Below are 24,395 nucleotides of genomic sequence, written 5' to 3'. Positions count from 1 at the left end.
GAGCCACATGTGTGGAAGTGCTGAGGTGTGTAATTTGGTATAGTTGAAGAAAATTTAAATATGGAGAATTAGTAGGAGATGGTGCCCTCCTTTACTTAAAAGTAGTTTCCATTGACATTAGGAAAAAGCTCTGAATCTTGAGAAGGTCTATAAGCCATGTGTTTTACAGTCCTTTTCTGCTTCTTAAGCCTGAAAATCAACCCAGCTGAGCTTGACTCCTTACACACTTTACATGAAATGTGCATGCACTGCCTCTTCCCTGAGCCCTGGTATACAATGTTTTCTCCCCCAAGAATGCTCTTTCTGAAGCAGGATATTTGCTTGACTTCTTCATGGGACTCATGACAGGAGTGCCTCATTTACACAGCCCTCTGCTCTCAACTCCTTGCAGGAGGGAGCCTGCGAGCAAACGAGGTGGAAACTGGAGTGCACAAGTGCTGGAATGGGCTGTCTGCCTTCCACCCCTCACGGGAGGGAGCGCGCAGGTGAGCAGGTGCGGGAGCCAGAGCAAGCACTTTTGGGCTCCAGTAGGAGCAAACTTCGGGCCCCATAGCAGTGTCTAGGTGGGGCTTCCTGTGACCTCTAAAGCCCCAGAGGGCATGTTACATTGTTCTTTTAGCTCTGCCCTTTGCAGACGGCTTAAGTGTTAACAGCTCAGTGGGCTTTCTGCCTTTTTGCTGAGGCAGCTGCCCTCTGCCAGGAAGGGCAAAGAATCAGTGTGACAGCCTTTTGTATCTGCACTTGTGGCTCCCGAGCTCTTGTCCAGCATCCAGGAAAAATGAGGTTGCAAGAATGAATTGAAGGATGGTAAATGCGGGGGATTTTATTGCTGATGAAAGTGGCTCTCAGTGGGAAGGGGAGCTGGAAAGGAGATGGGGTGGGTAGGTAATCTTCTTCCCCTGAAATCTGGCCATCTCCAGCTGGATTATTCTCCAAAGTTATGCAAGCTGTCCCTCTGTAAAGCTGTCCCTTTCAAGTCAAGCCACTTCTCTCCCATGTTCAGTCGTAGTCCTCTGCATCAGCTACTTCCTTCTCTGTGCTGGCTGAGTCCTGGGTGTCCTATATTATAGGCACAGGATGAAGGGGCAGGGTGGGCCATGGGTAGTTTAGGAAAAGGCAACATTCGAGTGGGAAAACAGGGATAGAAGTTCTAACTTTGGGCTGTGGGTTTCAGGCATTTCGGCTTGAAGGTGGGGTTTTGTCGGGGACCCACCCTTTTCTGCTTAGAATTTCTCTGCCCCCGGTCCCTATCACTTCTTCCCTCTTCTAGTCTGTTCCTACTCTACTGTTTTTATTTAGCTGAGATCAGTATAACCTTAAAAATATGTAACAAGTAATGCATCTGCTGTCTTATGAAGAATTTTTAATGTTTATTATTATTGCCAGGAGTGACAACAGTGAACCATAGTACACTGCAGCTTTCGATATATGTCCCCATATACTTTATTTCATCCTTGTAACAGTCATGAGATAGGTATTATATGAAATTTAGAAATACATATAATTTTTTTTCCATAGTGTCATCTTTTATCTAAAATTTAATGTCTTCTGAAGAGAAGATAGATAACTGAAATAAAAGTAAAAACATCTTTCAAAATAGGAGTAAATGCAGTTAGTTATATAGTATATCATGTTTGTATTTGTATGTATGTATTTTTAATAAAATTGACTTAAAAGTTTAGCCACAAGATAGTGTCTACTTTATGTCAAATATAAACCAGATGTTATTCTGAAATACTTTCAAACTCTGCTTTTATAATCAAAAAACTATTTTTTTGTAATGTATGGAAGGATAGTTGGAAATTCCAGTGGTTAACTTTTTTCATGAATATTATTAATTTGATTAATCATAATCATTGCCTTATGACACATTCTCATCATTGACCTGTATGTGGTTCTTTTATTATTTATTTATGGATGGTTAACTTTGTAAAGCTTGCATATTGTGTAACAATAACGTTTACTTGCTTCTCAGAAATTTCCTGAAGTTAAAACTTTTAAATGAAACACAAGGACTTATGACAGTTCTCACCCACCATACGAGTGTGTTTATGAACTAACCTTTTAGTTCCAGCTCAACACAACAAGTGGCTTCTTTTTCCTATAAGTGGATGGTCTTGCTAAAAAAGCGTAGTTCAGAAGTTGAGTAAAATACACAGATTTCATGTTGCCTACAGCAAGAAAGGTGAGGGTTTCTAGGCAGAGGGCAAAGTTAAAGATGACTGTTTCCTTTTTCTGGGTCTAATGAGTGTGACCTAGATCAAGGTGGTTGTTTGTAAAGAATGGTTTTGATTCTGGATTTTATTTTGAGGGTAGAACAGACAAGATTTGCCAGTGGATTAGATATATTCCAGGAAAACATTTCTGTGCTGGTTGAATTTGGGCAGATAACCTGAATGATATGAAGAGCAGAGTGTTCCCAGAAGAGGAGATGGGGATGTGCGAAGACCTAAAGAGACAATGAGCTGTATTTTTTTTTAAGGAATAGAAAGAAGACTTAGGTAGCCAGAGCATGTTGAGGGAGAAGGGAGAGTGGACTCCGTTAGGCATTAGCCTGAATTTAGGACCTCTTAAAGAGGAGATAAGTAAGCATTTCCCAGAGCGATGTTTAGTTTACCAGTAGCATGAACCACATTTATAATTGTGTTGTCTGTTTTTGATGAATTAATGAATAGGTTTTATTCCTATTGGATAATATCTGCATATTATGGGGGTACAAAGGAATGAAAAATACTTTCTCTGCCCTCAAGGAATACATAGTTTGCATTTACAAAAATGTATGATAAGCTAATAACTACTTATGATAAGGATAATAGTTTATATAAACAATAGAAGTGATGTATCAAGGATTGCTTAATAAGGTTGGTGAATGACAATTTCTGCTGTAACATTATTTTCAAAACATTAATCATTTATTATATAACACCTTAAGGATTTTAACTATGCCTACTACTTTATTATAATTTATTTAATATTTTTCCTTTCATGAATTCTTTCTTTCTTTAAATAAATTTATGTAAATAGGAAATCTTTTGGCCACAGATTATCCTAAACAAATTAGCACTTGCTATAAATAGAGGGGAACCATTAAAAAAAACTTATTCTAATAAAAAAGTATGTTTTTGCCAAGCCCAGAGGCACATCAGAGCAAGGGAAATACTGCTATGGAAGAGCAGGGAGAAATTACTTCTGGTGCTGGTCCCTAAAGGAAAAGTTGAATGTTGGAATTATGTACAGGATTTAGAAAAGTGAAGAGGAAAGGCCTCCTCAGGAGGAAAAGAGATGCATAAAACTGAATGGAGGAATGTGGAAATGTTTTTATGTAAGCTACTTTGGCTAGCAAGGACTGGTGCTTCTTAGCTGCTGGCCTTCCCTCAGTGAGGTACTGAAGTGACTGGTGCAATGTGAATCTGTAGCATTTGGGGACTTAAATAATGATTTAAAATCCCCAACTACAGTTTTGGCTATTTGATAACGATTCCAAAGATCAAGTGTGATTTTTTCATAAATTATAATTTTGCTGAGGAATATGTGAATTATGCTGTATCCACAGCTTACTTATTACTTGCTTTCCTTACTAGATAATGCATTTACTCTGAGATGGTGATCTGTACAAGATGTGTACACCTTATAACTATTAAGGATCTGTTTATCTCAATATCTCAGATTTCGAAACAGCTTGCATGCGAGAAAAGTAAACTGAATTCTTTGGTATTACGTTATAGTTAACATAACAAAGGAAACTACCCTATAATTCTTGGCTTAATTTTTGTTAGGCCACTTATTAAGTGATTGTTGTCATTTGAGGTAGCTTTGCCCTGTGACCTTACATAAGTCACATAACTTCTTTGTGGTTTCCTTATCTGTAAAAGGTGTTATAGTATCTACTTCATAGAATTGTTGTAAGGTTTAAATAAGTTAATATGTATAGTGGTTTAAATAGCTTTGCTTCCCAATAAGTGCTATGTGTTTGCTGCTGTTGTTATTATTTAATTGAAAAGGCTATCTTTCAACTAAAGGAAGTACTAAAACGTCCTTAGGTTTCCCAGCCCTACTACTTAATAAAAACCAAGGGATAAATAACAGATTCATATGGACTTTTAGAAGGATTGCCCCACAATTGGTCAGGTGTTCCTGAACATACCCCTGGCCTCCCCATGTTTGCACCAAGGAGAGATTTTTGTTCATTGGTTTTTTTGGACAAAATGATTTGATTTGATGTTTGTATGAAGAGTAGCCATTTGTTCCTTTTTCTTATTTTTAATTATCATCAGTTTAATATAATTCGCCAAATTATGATTTCTGTTTTCTCTTTTCAAATTTTATTTTTCCTAAATTCCTAATTGTATGTTGTATTAACCTTGATTTTATGAAAACCAGGTTGAATCATTTAATGGCTAGAGGTAATATCTATATAAAATAGGATATATAAATAATATATAAATATATAAAAGAGGAACAGCAAGAATTGAAAGTATTTTTATATGGCTACATCATAATAAAAGGTTTGGTTTTGCTCACTAGGCCAAGCTAATTCCCCAGTCTCTGCATCTTGAGCATCTGCTCAGGAGACCTCTGAAACTGTATGAGAATACACTGTGGAGAGCTTTCTGTTTGGCAGTTTGACTTTTATAGTGCTCAGTTTTCTCTTGGTTTATGTGGTCACAAGTGTCACTTTCTCATGACTTTATAGCATTTTAATATTGAAAGGCAAAATACATTCTTAGTTTGTAATATAAAATATTTAAGTCCACCTGTGAACCTCTCATATTCTGCATATTTCTCAGTAGGTATATTGTTTATGAGTCTAGTATTTTAATTTACAGTGAATTGTTTGCCCTAAACAGCTTATTCTGATAGCATGAAAATTATAAGGATTCAGTCTGTTTTGATTTTCTTTTGATCATTGTTCTTATATGTTGACCCTTATTGTAGTCTTATACCTGTTTGTTAGACAACACTTGGATAGTAAAATTGTGTGGTTGCTAAAAATGAATTAAAGTTTCAGGGTTTTACCAAGGGGTGATATTTAATATTGAATGACATGTATTAAGACAAATGCTTTTATATATAATTTATTTGGCACTGTAAATGCACTTATCTTGTGAGAAACAGACCCCCTGTTGTCAAATGAAGTATTCTGGAAAGGTTTGGAGTAAATAAATAATAAAACTACTTTGATATACAATCTAACAATATTAAATATTAAGACTTTCAGATGATTGATTTTAATACTTAATTAACTTAAAGTCCAATGTAACCCTCTTGCATTAAAGATCGACAGAATTTAAAAATAAAACTTTACTCTTTGTCTTTCTTTGTTTTCTTTCCCTCTTTTTTCTTTTTTCCTTTCTTCTTTCCTCCTTTCTGCCCTTGTAATTAAGACTTTAGAACATTGTTACTTCCAATCATTGAATTTACCTTTAGCTACCAACATTTCTAAATAAAAAATGTTTTTTTAAACCAGATATTCAATTGCGCTATCTCTTAATTGTGAAAACGTAGCTTCTACCAGAGAAGCTTGCTTTTATACCCCATATGTCATATTTCTGGTTAAATACCTATCATGGTAAATACATGCTACCTAGAACACATACTTATTCACGCTGCATCCTTCTTCCTTTTATAATCGACTCTGAAAGTAGTCCATTTAAGCTCTTTGGTGTGCTTTTCTTATAGGAGAAATCTTTATGTAAAGTAATACTATATCATTTCAGTGTTTGACTTTTAGGTTTACCATCAGTCAAGAATTTAAATGAATGAAGTATGCTTATATGAGCTTTTCTGAATATGAATGTTTTTAGAATGACACAGTTCAGAATGCTGATTCTGTGCCTAAGTATTAGAAACAGTTAAGGAGAGAATATAAGCTGAAATATATAGAATTTTGTATTCAGACAGAATAAATTCATTTCTAGAGGTTCTGCTCATGTGGTGCCATTTTAAAAGAGAAAATATTATTAAACTAACTTATTATTTTATCTGTTCAATGCTCATAGTTTGAGATTTTCACTTAGATACTGCTCATATTGATTGATTGATTTTTTTTTTTTTTGAGATGGAGTCTTGCTCTGTCGCCCAGGCTGGAGTGCAGTGGCACGATCTTGGCTCACTGCAACCTCTGCCTCCCGGGTTCCAACAATTCTTCTGCCTCAGCCTCCCAAGTAGCTGGGACTACAGGCACGCATCACCATGCCTAGCTAATTTTTGTATTTTTAGTTGAGATGGAGTTTCACCATATTGGCCGGGGTGGTCTCTAACTCCTGACCTCGTGATCTGCCCGCCTCTGCCTCCCAAAGTGCTGGGATTATAGACATAAGCCACCATGCCCGGCCTGTATTGATTTTTTTTACATGGAAAATATTGCTTTGATTTTTTAAGTGTAGTTTAAAACTGCCTTCTAAGCTTTAGTGCTGAACGCTTACCCTTTTATTAAAAATTAACTATTTGCAGAAGAAGTCTTTTCTTTCAGACAGATCACTTTTAAGATTTAATACTCCAGCCTCTAGACTTGTGAAACCAGTACAAATATCTTAAAGATTAGTCTTGCATTTTAAATGGGAATTTTAGCATATTTGTGAACTCCTGTGCCCAGGATAGCACTAAAACCGTATTGTAAAATTAGTTACGACTTTTTGGAATTTTAAACTCATGTGAATAGGAGAAATTGTTATTTACAGTAAGTGTAACAAAGGAAGGATAGGGCCTTTCCCAGATCGTGGAAGGTGTATTACTATGCTTTCTCAGTCAGAAAAATGAGATTGCTTTTATTTAAAATAATTCTTCAGGCATCATTTTTATGAGCCAGAGAAATTCTAGGAACAGGAAGATACCATTGAAGAGAACTAAAATCTATCAATTATGGATTTAAGTAGTCATCTACTAAGAGGCATGTTTTTGGCCTTTATATTCTTTTCTCTGTATGTATCTTGGTTCTATATAAGAGAAAATTAAGGATAGAAAATCAAGGATAGAAGTTGGAGTTTGGAATCAAATTTAGAGGTCTAATGAACCATTGTAAGTGTTATGTTTATGCTGGACTTTTACAGTGATTGTTTAAAAATTTTTAGACTAAATAAAATCTCTTAATTTTTTATAGTTTGATATTTGCAGGTAAAAATTTATTCATAAATATTAAAATAGACAAATTTATTAAAAACCTTTGATATTCTGCTTTGTAATCAATCATTTTCTCTTACTGGAATGTTTATGAAACACAAATTGGGAAATTCGTAGGAAAATGATTTCATATTTAAAAACAACATTATGTTATGATTTCATAAGGTAATCCCAATAGCAGTAACCGACAAACTTAAGTTGCTTTTTTAGATTCAAGAGAGCTAAAATAGCTCTTTATATTTAAAACAAAACGATAAAAAAAATGAAAGCAGCAACTTCTTAATCAGTTACTTTTGAATTAGGTTATTTAAATCCATAATTAAAAGAAAACTATGAACATTATCCACACGTTTTCTTCAACAGATTGCTTGAAAATAACTCATTATTACTAGTTAGCTGGTTTCCTTTATTTAATTATAAAAACATTTCAGTGGTTCATTTTCAATCTATAGGCATAATAAATCAGGATATAATGGATGCTTGATTATATAGAATGGTTGTAGACTGGGGTATGTGGTTGATTTTGTATTCTGGCTATTGGATATTATCATAGACTTGTTAAGTTCTAAAGAATTATAATTTAAGCTAAATTAACTAAATGACTTCTTGAACTTTCTCTAAGGAGTCAAAAAGACCTTAAGTATTTTTAGCACCTTAAATGAACGTATGAATATCATTGTGTGGTAGAGTATTTTCTTCTGACAACATAAAGATGAGGGTTTAAAAAATACTCCTTTTAAAAATAAACTTTGATGGCAACTTGCTTGTTACTTGTCTATTTTTTATATAGTTTAAAATACACAAAAGTCATTTATTTATGTATTTTAGGTATGTGAAACCTGTAACAGTGAAAGTGTACTGTAAAAATAAGAAATTCAGCTACTGAGATTATGAAAACATGGTTTAAGATATTAAAGAAAATTTAAGGAATCTAGCAGTTAACTTGAAATAGACATTTTCAAATGTTTACTTGTATATTTTTAAGAGTATAACAAAATATATGAAGAATATAAATCTTACATTAAGATAGTTGCCCATGGGCCAAATAAAATTTTGAAAAGTGTTTAATCTGTTCTACTCAGTATTTTTCTTTTAATTTGAATTATTTGCTAACACTTACAAATTAGCAGATTTCACATAAAATTTTTGATTTCTAGCTTGTCTTGAAAAAGCTGAAGCAGAGTAAAGGGTGTTCTAATTATTCATAGGCTGCATCTTTTTATACCCCCTTTTTTTATACCTGGTCTTTTTGTCGCACTGACTTATTTAGAGCCAAATTAATGTAGGAGAAAGAATGTGAGCTCTAGAACCAGACAGGATGGCTTCAATTTTGGCTTTAATACTTACTCCTTGTGTGATTCTAGACAAATTAATTACTCTCTCTCTACCTCAGTTTCTCTATGGTAAAATGAAAATAAAATTGACAAAGATAAATCAGTTGGGTTTTAAGGAGGATGAAATGAGTGTACATGAAACATTTAGACTAGTTTTTGGCATATATTCATTGTGCATAAATGTTAACCATAAATAATAATACTTTTTGCCTGATCTCATTAGACATTTGAATTTGGTGACTGCTCCATAGTAGAGGACGTTGGTTCTGAATTTATTTATTTGTCCAACAGAATTTGTCAAACTCTGTGTTATACTATAACCGATCATCTACATTTCGCTGTCCTCTACTAGATTATATTCTCCAGAGTTTCTTCTATACAGCAGTGCTCAGTATATGCTTACTGATTGGCACACATAAGCAAATAACTGACAACCGTCTAGGTTTATGTATTTAAGATTTATGGCTTTAGATATTCTTACTGCATGTTAGCTACCAAATTCTTTGTTTTCCCTAATCCTCTGCTTATATTGTTTTAGCCACAATTCCAGGGGGATAGGTTTTATTAACGTCTGACTGTGATTGTGTGGATGTAGGGGGTTTTGGAGACTTCTGATAAAAATTAGAACATGTATATGAATATTTTACTAGGTGATGGTTTTACAGAGAAAGTAAATAGGATAGAGGAGCATTTTGTTTTGGTAAAAGGTCATCCAGAATTTATGTATTCATGAACATCTCTGGAGCTTTTCCTCCATAGGTGAAGACCATATCCTATAAAATTAGATACTCATTTTGTTTGGACTTGCTTTTACCACTTCTTTTTTCTCTTATTTCCTCTTTTTCTCATGTCCTTGCTGCTCCTGAAATTTAAAAGATTATGTTACTTACATTATTTTGCATGACAATTGGTGAACTTGGTTTATGTTTTGAAAGAGTTATGATTTGAGAAGATAATTTGCATCTTAGGGACATATAAAATTTACAAATAGTGTAGGTTGGAAGTTGAAAATAATTTAAAACAAAATTTATTCAATATGGAATAATTTATATAAGTGAGAATTGAGAGGGAAAACTTTCAAAACGACCAAAGGAAATGTAGGTAGTTATTTATAAAAACTTGTAAGTATAACACCAGAGGTGGATATTATACTGGAGATACAGATACATTTGAGCATGTAAAAAGTTACCTATGTCACAAAAATGTCATACAACTGAAAGACAGATACACTTTGAGAAAAATATGTGTATCATATAAACAAGGTTTAATACTCTTAATACTTAAAGCATGTTTAGATATCATGAAGACAGTCATAACAATTAACTCTATTAACAAAAGACAATAAACAAATGTCAGAGAAACAGTATCTCAGTAGTTACCAAGCAAATACAATACAAAATTTGACTATCAGGTTGGTTCAGAAAATCAAAGAGGAAACATCCATTGTTAATGAGAATCAAGGAGAAATGAATTGTTCTATTAGGTACAAACCTTTATAGAGTACAGTTTGCTAAAATCTTATTTTTTTAATATATATTTTAATCCAGCTATTGTACTTTAAGAATTTATCCTAAGGAAATAATCATGGATATCATACAGACATACTGCTAAAAGATAATTTATTTTTGAGACTGTTTGTAGTATTGAACAACTGAAAACATGTTGTTTACTAAATAAGGAATTGGTTACATAAATTGTGCTGACTATATAATAGAATGCTAGGAATAATTAGAAATTATAGACACACAATTGTTTTTTTCTTTAAACTGGGGAGGAAAATACTGAATTTAAAGTATTCATAGATTACATAATCAGTATGTTTACCATGTTATGGGTCACATTAAAACCATATGTATTTTAAATGCCCAGAATAAAGACAGGAAGTACATGTGTAATACACTGAAATGTTAACACTAATATTTCTAGCTAATACTATCATGAATAATTTTAATTTGCTATATTTTCTGTATTTTGAAAGTTCTATTGTGAATGTTTATTATTTTGGCTGTAAAACAAAAGGATGCTATAAATGTGAGAATATTGTCTTTAATTTAGAATTTAGCTTATTTATTGAAAATAAATATGATTCAAAATTAAGATAAAGATTATAAATGATGCTCAGATTTTTGAGAAATTTTTGAAATGGAAATTTTGTTACCTTTTTCCCTTCTTTGCATAAGCCTACCAATGTGAGATAACAGTCCCTGGAGCCTGGGAAAAACTTGTTAATGTCTGTAATGCTCATGTAATCATTTCAGTCTTATATTTATTCCCAGTCATAGCAGAAAAAGAATTTATTATTTTTCTCTGTATTTTTTCACCTCCCAGGTAGTTACTTTTGGTGACGCTGTCCAGTTCCCACAATGTATCATTCCTTATCTGAAACTAGACATCCTCTGCAGCCAGAAGAACAAGAAGTAGGCATTGACCCCTTGTCCAGTTACTCTAACAAGTCTGGAGGTGAGTTTTGTATGCCAATACTATTTGTAGGTAGTGTACTGGGAAACCTAGCAGAGGGCCCTCAGTTAGCTGTGTCCACCTTATGTGTGTGAACACATTTTGATGAAGTGAGCAGGCCAGTGTTAAGTATGTTATTCTGGATATGTACAGAGCACTCTTGACACTAATGAATACTTCAACAAGCCACAGTTATTCATGGAAGCATTAGCCAAATGTTTAACGCACTGTCGTTCTTTAAAATAAAATAATAAACTGAACAATGACTTCAGCATAAGAATGTTGAAATGCGAAAGGGCCTTGGTCGAACATCTTTTAAAGATTCTTAAATTTTTGGTGTTGATTTTGCAGGGATTTTTTTCCCCTTTCAGCAGATTGAGATTATTCCAGGATAAAAGACTTGATTCATCCTCTTTTTTTTTTAAAGTAATTGAAATTTGTTCATCCTCTTTTTTTTTTTAAAGTAATTGAAATTTGTGTTATATTTTAAAAGATCTATACACTGAAATTATTAAGTGGTAGACAGTTAAAATGTAGACCGTATTCAGGTTCTACCCTATAAAAATGTATCAAATGTTTATGTATCAGAACTCTACTATTTTCTCAGTATTTACTTAATGATAGTAATAACATAGTTTCTTAGACAGAAGCAATTGAGTTTGTGAGAATTTTTGAAGCCTTATCCTTAGTTTTTAAGCAGTTCACTAAATATTTGATAAAGTTAATTGACTCAGTGGCTGCTTGTAATTTTTCACTTGTGGAATGCAGGTATCAAGATTGTGACATCTATTTTAAAACATAAATTAGTCAAAGTATACAGACAAACTGTTATAAAAAGGAAAATTAGTCATAGTAAATCATGTGTGTTATTTTCTTCAAACAAAATGATTTTTTCTGTTTATACTGATGCCAAAGTCTGCTTTTAACTCATGTTTTGAGAATTTAAAAAAAGAATTGACCCCCACCTAAAGTGGCTATTTCTTTAGAACACAAATTTTATGCAGAATTTTTATGCTTTTTGTGCATCTTTAATACCTCCTACATACAAATGCCATTGTTATTTTTAATAAAAATGGGAGAGAATTTGTCCAGCTTATTTTTGTGATTTAATTTTTAAATTTTTATATTTTTTGTTAAATAAGAACTCAAGACTTATGTTTAATATTTTGATAATATGAAAATAGTGTTCATTTCAATTTCAGTTATTTTAATATCTCAGTGCTAGGCATGACACCTTTTCTAGTGATATTTTCTCTTAAATGTAATACTCATAAGAAGCATTCGTAGTTAAATAAATCAAATTATTTTGCAAGTACTTCTGTAAGTGGATGTTTTAAAAGTGAATGTCTTTGTGTTACAAGTGTATAAAATAGTTTCACCAAAATATTTCATACTATTTCTGATTACTATGGTTATTTGAGGACATAGTTTTTGTTGTTGTTGTTTGTTTGTTTGTTTTTTGAGACGGAGTCTTGTTCCATAGCCCAGGCTGGAGTGCAATGGCGCAATCTCGGCTCACTGCAAGCTGTGCCTCCCGGGTTCACGCCATTCTCCTGCCTCAGCCTCCCAAGTAGCTGGGACTACAGGCGGCTGCCACTTCGCCTGGCTAATTTTTTTGTGTTTTTAGTAGAGACGGGGTTGCTGTTTGTTTTTTAAGCACGTATTTTTATATGGTCTATTTCATTAAATACTGAGGTTTTTTTTTTTAACCTGGTTAAAATAACATTTTAAATTAATTTTATCCTTTATTGTTTACAGGAATGAGTAGTTACCTTTACTAAAAAGGCTTTTCGTTTATATCCTAGCCTAACATTTCTATGACATACTAAGTTATTAGGACTGAATTGATGTTTAAAAGTGCCATTAATTCATTTACCCCAAATGTTCATTAACAATGTAAATGTATGCTGATGTTCTATGAGACAAGGAAGTGACTAATGACTCTTCCAACTAACAACACTTAAAATGAATAGAAACTTTCGATAGCTAATCTTGAAGTAATCAAGACCCTCATTCAGCTTGGCATCTCTGTATGCTCTAAAACAGCTGTCAACTGTTAAAAATATATACAAAACACACATACGCACATGCACATGCAGAAAGAAAGATATGTAAATATCTTGTTCTTCAAAGCCATAAAGGTTACTAACCATAGTGGGCTTTGTGCATTGTATAGGTAAATATTTTATATAAAGCATCTATTTCATCTTCTTTGATTTTCTTTTTACAGGAAAATGTGTTGCATTTTAATGAGGTTGTCATATTATTTGAAGAAAATCATCACCTTTCTATTATGTTTGCTTATTTTAATATATGTCTTACCTGGGCTTTCTTCAAGTATTTTGAAGCTTTTTACACATTTCTGCCATAATCTTTAGGGAATTTGTTACTACTGGATGACTCATTTTCTAAGTATTTAAACACTGCACTTTAGTGCTTTGCCTGTGTAGAAGTTATGTGTAATTTTTAAAAACATTTCTTGTCATAGGTTCTATTAGTAAAAATATATACAGATATATATGCAAAGTCTTAGGAGATATTTTCCATGTGAATTAAACTTTTAACTGCTTTAATTGTTTTTTCAAATAGAGAACAGCATAGAAAATATGACATTTTCTGTGTGCCCTGTTCAGTTTAGTTTACATTAATTACCACATAAAATTCCAAGATCTATGATCAAAGTTTAATAACTGACAAGTTACTAGTAATTTAGTTAAAAACAAAAAAGCAAAAATATTTGTTAGACTATTTATGATTATTTGCTCTTAACCTTTAATGACCAATAAAATGAAGAAGTAATCACTTTATTTTAAATTTAAGATAACAATATCAAAATTCAGGTATAGCAAACCTATTAATTAAATAATATTGTTGGAATCACTCGTTTTCACAAGCTTATAAGAGATTGGAATGTCATCAGTGATGAGAGAAATTTTTCTGTAGGGGATCCTTTGTTAGTCTGTTTTTACATCACTGTGAAGAAATACCTGAGGCTGGCAATTTATAAAGAAAATTGCTTTAATTGGCTTATGCTTCTGCAGGCTGTACAGGAAGCATGACACAGGTATCTGCTCCTGGTGAGGGCCTTAGGAAGCTTCCAATCATGGCAAAAGGCAAAGGGGGAGGAGGTATATCTCAGGAGTAAGAGAGATGGTGGGATGCCCCAGACTCTTAAGCAACTAGATCTCAAGTGAACTGAGAACTCACTTGTCACCAAGGGGATGGTGCAAAACCATTCATGAAGGATCAGCCCCTGATCAATTCACCTCCTTAAATTTTGTATGTCACAGTATTCACCTTCTTACTTAATAGCTTTTATATATTTAAATAATTGCCTAACCTTTCTTTGCCTTTTAATATACTATCTGTTTCAAAGCTTGCTTTCTATTGTCATTCATAAAATATTTGGCAACTTAAAAAAAATCCAAGATGTTCAGAATCCTGCCAACTCCGTTTTGCTTCCTATAATTTTGTTTTTTTCCCAAGTATTCCTTTCTTTCCATTACAATGACATGTTTTAGAATTAGGAAGGTATGTCCTGGCTTTATTAATGAAGAAATTGGTAATTTAAAATAGTTGACTGATGTCGATATAATAAGATGATGCTGTCCTATCATGATCTTTAGTGTTGTTTTCCATATAGTAGAGGTGGATTTAAATTTGATTAAAAGATGGGTTTCTTCTGCTGAAGATATCTAGATATCTGGCTAAAGTATAAAAATGGTGTCTGAAGTACTATAAACCCTACTCTGGGCTAACTAGCTGGAGTCATCTTAGAGATGAAAAAGTCTTTTTACTTTCTTCCCTGGCTTACAACTCTTTAGTGACTTCCCATTATATTAACAATAAAATCCAGATTGTTGACTGTGATGTGCATGGCTGTCTTCTTGTCTGTCTGGTCTTGCTCAGATATGCTAAGCCAGTTCTAAACTCTGGGCCTTCACACATGCCATTTTTCTGACATTATTTTTGATTCATTCAGAGCATTCAACAATATATAATCCTTTTTTTTAATTTTTATTTTGTTTTTAATTTATTATTATTATACTTTAAGTTTTAGGGTACATGTGCACAATGTGCAGGTTAGTTACATATGTATACATGTGCTATGCTGGTGCGCTGCACCCACTAACTCGTCATCTAGCATTAGGTATATCTCCCAATGCTATCTCTCCCCCCTCCCCCCTCCCCCCACCCCACAACAGTCCCCAGAGTGTGATGTTCCCCTTCCTGTGTCCATGTGTTCTCATAAGTGGAGGTACTCAAACTGATAAAACAACACAGTTTGAGTACCTCCACTTATGTTAATTAATAATTGCTTAATGCCTCTTTCCTCCATCTGTCTTTCTCTTTCCTATCTTAAGTTGTAATGTATGAACTCTGTTTTATTGTCCCTGATAATTCTAGCACTTGAATTTTTCTCCTTTTAGGGTTTCAAAAGTTAATATACTCTCCTGTTTTATCCTCTGTTCTCTTTGACCTCTCTTCCTTTGAAGTTTCTCCTAAAATTCACTTATTCCATGTTTTCTTTTAAATATGACCCATCTCAGAATTTGCATAAAACCAAATGGGCAGAGAGTTTTCTGGCAAATAAATGTCAAGTTATGATGATTAAGAATTATTGAGTTAATGCACAGCAGTAATCACTTGGCAAAGGGAAAGCTAAGGAAATAAATTATTACTTTTCTAAGAAATTTGTGGCCATAATTTGGGAGCATAGACTATATGTAATATGCTTACATTTAATACACATGTTTAATGCACATAATTCTTAGTGAACATTTTGTGTAGATAGTATTCTTGATACCTGGTTTCTTAAACTTACTAACGTGGTATATAGCAAATATTGTTTGTTTTTTGTATGAAATATGATAGAACCAGTAACTATCGGAGTAGCAGCTTTTCTTAAGCTTTTAAAGTTCATTTTTTGTCATTCAGTAAATATTTGAGTGCCTTGCGTGTACTAGGCATTGTTCTAAGTGCTGGAAATAAAACATTGAAAAAGATACCATGGTGTTTATGACTAGTAGCCAGATTTGGGGGTGCTCAGCAGAGAGAAGTAAATGATCAATAAACACAGAATAGTAAGTGCTTTCCTAGAGGAATTAACAGTTGCACAGTGAGTATATTGGTAGAGAATCCAACTGTGGTAATGGTGGATCAAGGAAGGTGTGATGTCTATCTAAGCCACAACCTGAAGGATGAGTAGCTGTTAGCCAGATGATTGTAAAGAGTTTATGCTATGAGCTTGCCCTCTGCTAAACATAAAGAATTTCAGTGTGATTTAAGATTAGAGTTCAAAAGTAGAATGACTACAAATAAGACTGAAGACTAGGATGAAGCTCCCTTATATGAAGAACGGTGGGTATTTCAGTGAAAGGATCTTGTGGTCAGATTTGCATTTTACAAAGATTATTCTGGCTGTAGTAGGGTGAATAAACTACAGTGTTGGGGGAAAAACTAGAAGCTGAACAATCATTTCGGAAGCCATCGAAATATTCTAGGTGAGATGATAGTGGCCTGTACTGGAAAGTATCAATGGAAATAGAAGTGGAAACATTTGAGAGTTATTTAGGAGGTAGAATTGATAGTACTTGATCTACTACTTGACTGGATATGGGGAAATGGTAGGAGAGAGAAGTTTGCAGTGACATACAGTTTTCTGAGTTGACTAGTTAGGTCTGTGATAATGCCAGTATTGAGACAGGGAAATCTAGAGAAAGAATTTTGTATGGTACAGACGGGATAGAGGGCTGCAGAGGACATGACATTGGATGTTCAGTTTCAGATGTGAGTTAGAAGTACCTTAGGGCATTCAAATGAGACACCCTAATGATTTTGATGTATGGGTCTGAAACTTAGAATTGGGCTGGAAGATAAAGATTTGTCAGCTTAAGTATGGTAGCAAAAACAATGGCAATGATTGTGATTACCTCATAATAGCATGTAGGCCAAGAAGAGGACTTAGGACCAATATCTAAGGAAAGTCATTTAAAGGCCTTGCAACAGAAGAGGATCCCGCAGAGGAGACTTAAAAAAAGAGGCTGGAGAAGTAGAAGGAAAACCAGGATGGTGTGATACCAAAGAAGCTAAGATGTCAAGAGGAGAATGAGCAAAACTGCCAGAGATTACTGAAGTTAAGAAAATAGAAGTGTCCAGTGGACAAAGTCATTGTTGTGATAAGCACAGTGCTTTTTGTAATCTGAAGAATCCATACGCCAGCACTCTGTATATTTCATATAAGTGAATTATGTATTCTATACTAAACTGACATGAGGAATAGAAGAGAAAAGGCACAACAGTATTAGGAAAAGTAAAAATCAGTGGAAGAAGAGTTCTGCGGTCTTGGAAGTATAGAGGAGAGGCAGTGTAGAGCAAAGACAGGAAGAGGGACCTTATTGTCTGTTGTAATCATAGAAGGGAAAAAGAAAAGGAGGTGTTTAGATGCAACAAGTTCATGGGTTTGATGGCAGAGTTGAATGAGATATCACTGATGTTTTAATCTCTTGTTTGATAAGTTAGTGTGACATTATTTGCTGACAGTGAATAACAAGGCGAAGCATGTGAAGATCTGTGGGGAGTAAAAAAGGTTAAAGTGGGTTGATAAGACATACATAACCTTGGAGACAAGTTGAAATGGGACATCATATTTATGGGTGATTCCAGCTTGTAAATGTATGTGATTATGTCCAGCAGAATTCAGCAGCTAGGATTGAGCCACAAAGAAGAACAGCCAGGGTTTTTGTCAGGGCTGTATAACAGGTAAACAGTAGGCAAGGAAGTTGATGGTTGAAGAATTCATTGATGGATTGAGAATATAAGGATATTTGCTATCATGGAAGGTGGTTTGCAGAGGGCAGGGTAGACAATTTTAGAAGGGATGGAGTCAAGGGAGAAGGAAGAGTAGTGTGGTGATGGGAGTCCTGAAGGGAATGTGGGAGCAGTAGGGCCAAAATTTTGCTTGATGTCTAAGAGTAACAGGGATGGTGAGGGTGGCGGCAAACTTTTCACAGTGATTCCTAATAATCTAAAATGTTATGTGTTTTATATTAAATGTACCTATCTAATATATATTCTAAATTCCAAAGAAAATAGTAACATGGTCTTTTATCACATCTCTTAATAATTCTTATGTGTTTGATAAGTGCATTAATTTGGTGAAACATTGTGTGGTGTTAGCCAATAAAGCAGCTCAATGCTCCATTATTTCTGTGTAATAATTTGGATCTATAATGATTTGGATAGGGCTTGGTTTGAAGTAACTAATAAAAAATTCACCCTAGATATCAAGGAAAATGGCAGTTTAGATAGATAAAAAACTGTAAGTTAGACTGTAAGGTTGTCAAGGAAAATGGTGGCTTTATTCAAGACAGATTGTTAAATAAATAGGAGAGTGACCTGGAAGTTTCTGAATGCAGTAACAAGGATAAAAAATACGTGGATTTTAAAAATATCTCTTTAAAAACAGATTTTTCAACTGGTATGACAGTAGGACAAAGTGACATCCGAGAGCAAAGAACATGCCAAGCCTAGTTCCTCTAAATTAAGCTGTTCAAAAAAAAGTTGGATATGAGAGACTTCAGTTTGAAAGACCATGAGTTAGAAATCTGTGAGTCATCCTCTAGAAATGCCAATTCAAGGTATGAGACAAATAAGAAATCAAAGGAAAGAGGAAGGAGAGAGCTAAGGATTGATTTGTAGAAAGTCCCCATGATTAGAACTTGGATAGAGGAAGTATTTTAATAGTACTTACTGGAGGAATAATCAAAGTAGGGGAAAGTCACAGTACCAAAATTATAGAAGCCACAGATATGAGAGCTTCCAGAAGGTTCAAAGCGAGCAGTTTTTCAAGCATTGTGTAGGTTAAAGAGTATAAAAGGAGGAAATACATGATTTGGTGATTGGAAGACTATTGATTATCTATTAGGGGTTAAGTCATTTTCAAGAAACCACTAACTCATTTGAGTGGATGGAGGCACAGGAAGTGAACTAAAAATCTGATTCCAAATTCACATTAAAAAGATAGTGATTAAATATCAATGATGAACATTTAGATGGCGAAGAATATTCTTACGCTTTAATGTTAGATTTAGGTGATTGTTTTTTGTATTTATGTTCTTACATTGTGTTGAGAACCTCACTGCTGGTAAAATCTAGATCCTTAAAATTTGAAAAAAAAAGTCCTCTGGTCTTACTTCTGATGTTTTTTTCATTGAGTTGTCCATATCTTATTAATTAGATCTGCTTTTCAGTTTTATTCAAAATCTTCCATTGATGTAGCAATTCTCTTTATTTGCTTGAAGGGAGATAGGCTACTTTACAGTTACTTTAGAGTTGGATTTATGTGAACAGTCATTGAACCATGTTGCAAATACCTTGATATTATTCATTTACCAGTGTCCTAGGAGCAATGAAACCTCACTGCTGAGCAGACAGAGAAACAGTAGCCTTGCAATAGCCCTTATCCACTACCCCTTTAGGCAATTAGGTCTGCAAAAGGATATCCATGTCTTAAGATATATTCTCCACCATCCTTTCTAGTATTCCTGGACCCCCCAGACATGGGAGGTTGTGTGGTGGTAGTTTTGGTTGATTGGTCTTGGCACAACTAGAGGAGACACTGGTGATTTAGAGTATTATCTTAAAACCTAAAATATGAAACAAACATTGAAGTAAAATGGCCTATAATGGAGCTTTTATCAAAAAATTATGTTGGTTGCTTTTTGTTGATTCATTAATGGGGCCAAAAACTACAGTAGAGTAAGGGTTTAGATTTTTTTTTTTTTTTGGAGACAGTGTTTCACTTTTTCACACAGGCAGTGGTACAATCATGGCTCACTGCAGCCTTGACCTGGCAGGGTTCAGATGATCCTCCCACCCCAGCCTTTCAAGTAGCTGGGACGATAGGAATGCGTCACCACACCCGGCAAATTTTTGTATTTTTTAGTAGAGACAGGGTCTTTCCATGTTGCCCAGGCTGGTCTCAAGTGATCCGCCCACATGGGCCTCCCAAAGTGCTGAGATTACAGGTGTGAGCCACAGTCCCCTACCTAGAATTTTTAAATAATGAAATAACCCAGCTTTCAGCCCGCATAGCTTAGGAAAGTATATCAGAGTTATCACTTGGCTTCTCACATGTTAAAGCTCCATTTTATTGATTTATGCATTAAAACAGATTTCTCCTTCATGGCTTGGTAGTGAAATGAATAACTAGGCCCTTACAAGTATAATCCTCCACCTCCCCAACGCTTCTGTTAACTCCTTTCATAGCATTAGCCATTTAAAAAAACTATATACTGCAACTACTGGTCTTTAAGATTACAAGCTTGCTTTCTTTGATATCACTCAATTAGAGGGAAGACTTGAATATCCAAGGGAGGATAAGAGGAATGCAAGAAAAAAATTAAACTTTACTCTGGGAAATCACTCAAGGACTTCCTTAATCACTCTTTTATATCAGTGCCCTCCCCTGCCACCCCCCAACCAAAGTAGAGGTCCCCAAAGACCTATTTATCTCAAGTTCATGTCTTAAAATTATCCCCTTACTTTGCTATATAACAGTCATCAATATAATAAAACAGCCAGGAGCATTTTTTTTAATATAGCTGATATATTTTGGTAAAATTCTCCTTACATGTACTTGAGTTTTTTTAAAAAATATTTTACTAACACTACATGTAGATATTTATAACTTTTCTTGTAGATCTAAGTTAGGCCCATTGTGTGTGTTTGTCTTTAGGAGGTTTAAAAAATTATTATGTGTTACTACAGTCTTTTTGAATAGCAAGCACAGTAGTCAGTTTAATGTGCCGAGTCTACATTACATTTGTAGATGTTCACATCTACTTTAGTGCATTGTAGCAGATTATAAATTGTATGTCTCATTTTTGGTAAAAGGAGATGTGTTATTGTGGTATTTTTATTACTTCAGTAATTGTCTTTGAGTTTTTAGTGTTTCCAAGTAAATGTTTCCACAATGATTCTTTGACATTGTTCTGTTCTTAAAAGACGTCTCACCGAAAGCTTTGATAATACACTTTGCCCTATCAATATGTCATTAATCTAAGCTCAAATATTTTTTGTTCTTAACTTTGCATTCTATGAGAATTGAAAATAAATTAGTTCACCATTACTGTATACTTTGGCTGGAATGAGGGCTTCCTTGTTAATCAAATAGTTGTTTTGAAACTTGCAATCATTTTTTTTTCATACAATACTAGTATTTTATTCTGGAGTTTGGGTAGCTCCTTGAATTTCCTAAGAAGGAATCTCATATGAAGTATATAGGAAAGCACAAGGGCAGGAATATTATGCTAGCTTCAAGCTGGTTTTACATTTTAGGAAAGTTTGAGTGTTTTAAATGGAAGAAATTAAGAAAATCATAAATCATAAAAATTAATATTATGAAAGTTATTTATTTTAAGTGGACATTTTCTTTTACATCTCCAGTATTTAGAATATAATTTACTTGCTTCCTTGGAAAAGATCTGATATTCTACCACTTGATAATTTTTGTATTCCTATAAATTACAGTGACTATTTTGTTTTTCCTGAACTTAACAAATATCTTTAATTTTAGTCCGGGAAAAAAAAGCTCAACTAGCTTTGATTTATCTACAGATAAATAATGAGAATTTAGCTTTACTCACTCAAGTCAGAGATGAGTCAATGTGTGAGCCAAATAATCTTTTATATCATGGCATCATGTGTACTTAAATAATTCTCCTACTTTCCTTCTCCTATTCTTTCTTCTTCCAAATGTAGAAAAACTTTAATAGCCATTGAGTTCTTACCACTGGTGTTTAGTGAAAATTTGAATGGAATAGGACTGATTTTAGCCAAGCATAGAACACTACATCAATTTTTATCCTTAATTAGACTTGTGAATAGATTTGTTTTATTGAAGGGATAGATTTTTAATCAGAAATGTTGACATGATGATTATGAAAATTCAGTAATAATAACTGAATCTTAGGGGCACATATATTTTATCATACAGAGTGAGGGCTGCCGCCCAAAGACCTGATGTTCATTCATTTATACAAACATATTTGTTGATCATCCAGTATCTGGGAATAGAATATTGAAAAAGTAGACCACTTGCTTTCTCTTATGGAATTCATATTTCAGCATGAGATGGACAAACATTGAGAAGTAAGTACAGAAATAAGAAAATCAGAGAAAAAATACCATGCAAAGAATTAAAATAGGGTGATATTATAGTGAGTGACAAGGTGAGTACTTTAGATTGTCAGAGAAGATCTCTCTGAGAAGGTGGTATTTCGGCTAAATGTTAATAACAAACAAGAAGGAGCCAGATATGCAGATATACAAGGATGGTGTGTGTGTGTGTGTGTGTGTGTGTGTGTGTGTGTGTGTGTGTGTGTGTCAGAGAGAGAGAGAAAGAAAGAGAGAGAGAGGCATCTGTCTAAACAGAGCTCATAAAAGCAGTACTATATGAATAGGCTTGTCATACATAGGGAACTGAAGAAGATCACTGTGGCTGGGCTACCATGGGTGACAGGGGAATGACACAGGATGGGACTAGTAGGCCGAGGCCAGGTAGAAGGTTTTTGTAAATCAGGCTGAAGAGTGCAGATTATATCTAAAGACTCAGAATTATGTAATAGCCTGTGTTGTTATCTCTGTTGAACTCCCAAGTTTCTTCTCAAGGATAGGAATGATAGCTATTTTAAAATATATTTCCTTTTGACTTGGTGGTAGGCATTTAACAAGTAATGCCTGATTTACTGAGAGTTGTTGTATTTTTAACATTTTTTTCACGTTGCAGTCCACACCAGTTGGTTTGTTTCCCCATTCTCAACATTTTAACAATTTAATGGTGAAGTAATTCCAGCTTAATCTGAGATAACAGGATGCCCTAAATTTTTCTATTTCTCTAAAGCTCAGTTCTTTCTATATGGTCCATTTTATGCCATGCTACCAGTATATACTAATAGTTTATATAGCCTATTGAAACCTTTTCTGTTGACCCATTTGTGTGTGTGTGTGTGCGTGTGTGTGTGTGCATGTATGTATATATGTACATGTACGAGCTTTATTTGTGTGGAGAGCATGTAATCATTATTTTCCCTTGCTGATGTAATGTAGAATTCGTTCCTCTAGGACATATTAGAACAATGTGTTTAATGCTCTTCAATTTAATTTGCTGGTATCACAATTAATACAATTAGGGTCACTTGGAATGAAACTATTAACAAATTGAGTAATTTACTTTAACAATGTCAATGTGTTCTCACAATTACATTTGCTTTAATTAGTGTACAAGCTATTATTTAATAGCATACTTCACATAGAAAAATGTAATAATGCATTCTTGGCTCCTTAAAAAAGAAAGAAGGAAACTTAACGGACTGAGTGATTTTGTGGTAGAGCTGTTAGCTGTAAAGTGATGGAGGAGAAAGTAGAAAGTCAGAAAGCAAAGTTTGCAAGAATGTAACTAAAACATTCTTGGTACTTACCAGTACATGGAAAGGTAAACACTATTGCCTGAATAGTATTGAGAACTTTTAATGATAGTTAAGAAGGGGAACATACATCCTGGAAATTTTTAATAGAGTTTAGTTGTAATACTGCAATAATAATTCAATTTCTGAACATCATAAAGTAGGTCATTCCTAACTTATCACCCTTATGGAGAGGAATGTAATGGTGCAGAATTTTAAAAGGTGGGAAACAAAAAGTTATAATTCTCAAATGGGCTTTTGTTTTATTTTCTAATGTAGGTATTTCTGACCTAAGAATTTACTAATAGCCTATGAAAAAGCTCTGCAGAAGGAGATGGTGAGCAAGCTTTTCCACTCCTGTGGTTACTTCTTCTATCTGGCCTACTCTGTTGAGGTCAGAAGACCCAAGGAAGAATAAGTTGTTATATTTCTATTTCTTTATATGTAGAGTAAGCAGAAGGTGATGTGCTGTCAACCAAGTCATAATTAATAAGATCTGCTGTTCTCTGTAAACAGAAAAGCAAGATTTACTATCATGTTATCAAGTGGCAACTTAATGTGAAAAGGAGATAAAAGCAATCCAGAGAATTCAGTACTCTAATTTAAAAAATTAGCTTGATAATCTGTTTACCTAATTTGATTGATTTAAGTTTCTGTTACTTTCATCTTTTTTCCTTTTTAGTCTTTTGGTTAATGACAAAGGTTCATAAAATACAAATAAAAAAGGAAGCAGGAGGAAGTTTAATTAGGCAATAAATATTTAAGTATAAAATGCAGGAAGCTGCAGAGTGGGGCCAAGATGGCTGCTTAGAAGCAGCTTCCATCTGTGGCTCCTGTGGAGGAAAACAAAAGTGGCGGCTAAATCCTGAATCTTCAACAGAGGTATCCAGGTTCTCTCATTGGAACTGACTAGGCAGTTGGCATGACCCACGGAGAGTGAGGAAAAGCATAGTGGAGCAAGGGGCCACCCGGGAGCCGCACGGGGCAAGGGGAGCTCCCATCCCCAGCCAGGGGAGGC

General features: G+C 34.1%; 1 protein-coding gene across 65 annotated transcripts in view; it reads left to right on the top strand.

Moving 5' to 3' along the window:
* Positions 1-24,395, top strand: part of TBC1D5 (TBC1 domain family member 5) — a 585,470-nt gene that overhangs the window by 223,245 nt on the left and 337,830 nt on the right. For 48 of the 65 annotated variants that reach the window (XM_047449291.1, XM_047449286.1, XM_017007556.2 and 45 more), the window contains one exon: positions 10,782-10,913. In XM_047449291.1, the coding sequence (XP_047305247.1) occupies positions 10,817-10,913 (97 nt within the window). In that variant the 5' untranslated portion in view covers positions 10,782-10,816. Of the gene's footprint in view, positions 1-391; positions 494-10,781; positions 10,914-24,395 lie in introns of all 65 variants that reach the window. The other 17 variants (XM_047449296.1, XM_011534283.4, XM_047449301.1 and 14 more) reach the window with 2 other exon arrangements.

Source organism: Homo sapiens, chromosome 3, assembly GCF_000001405.40.
Source record: "Homo sapiens chromosome 3, GRCh38.p14 Primary Assembly".
Lineage (NCBI taxonomy): Eukaryota > Metazoa > Chordata > Mammalia > Primates > Hominidae > Homo > Homo sapiens.
This window is presented reverse-complemented; position numbering and strand designations above follow the sequence as displayed.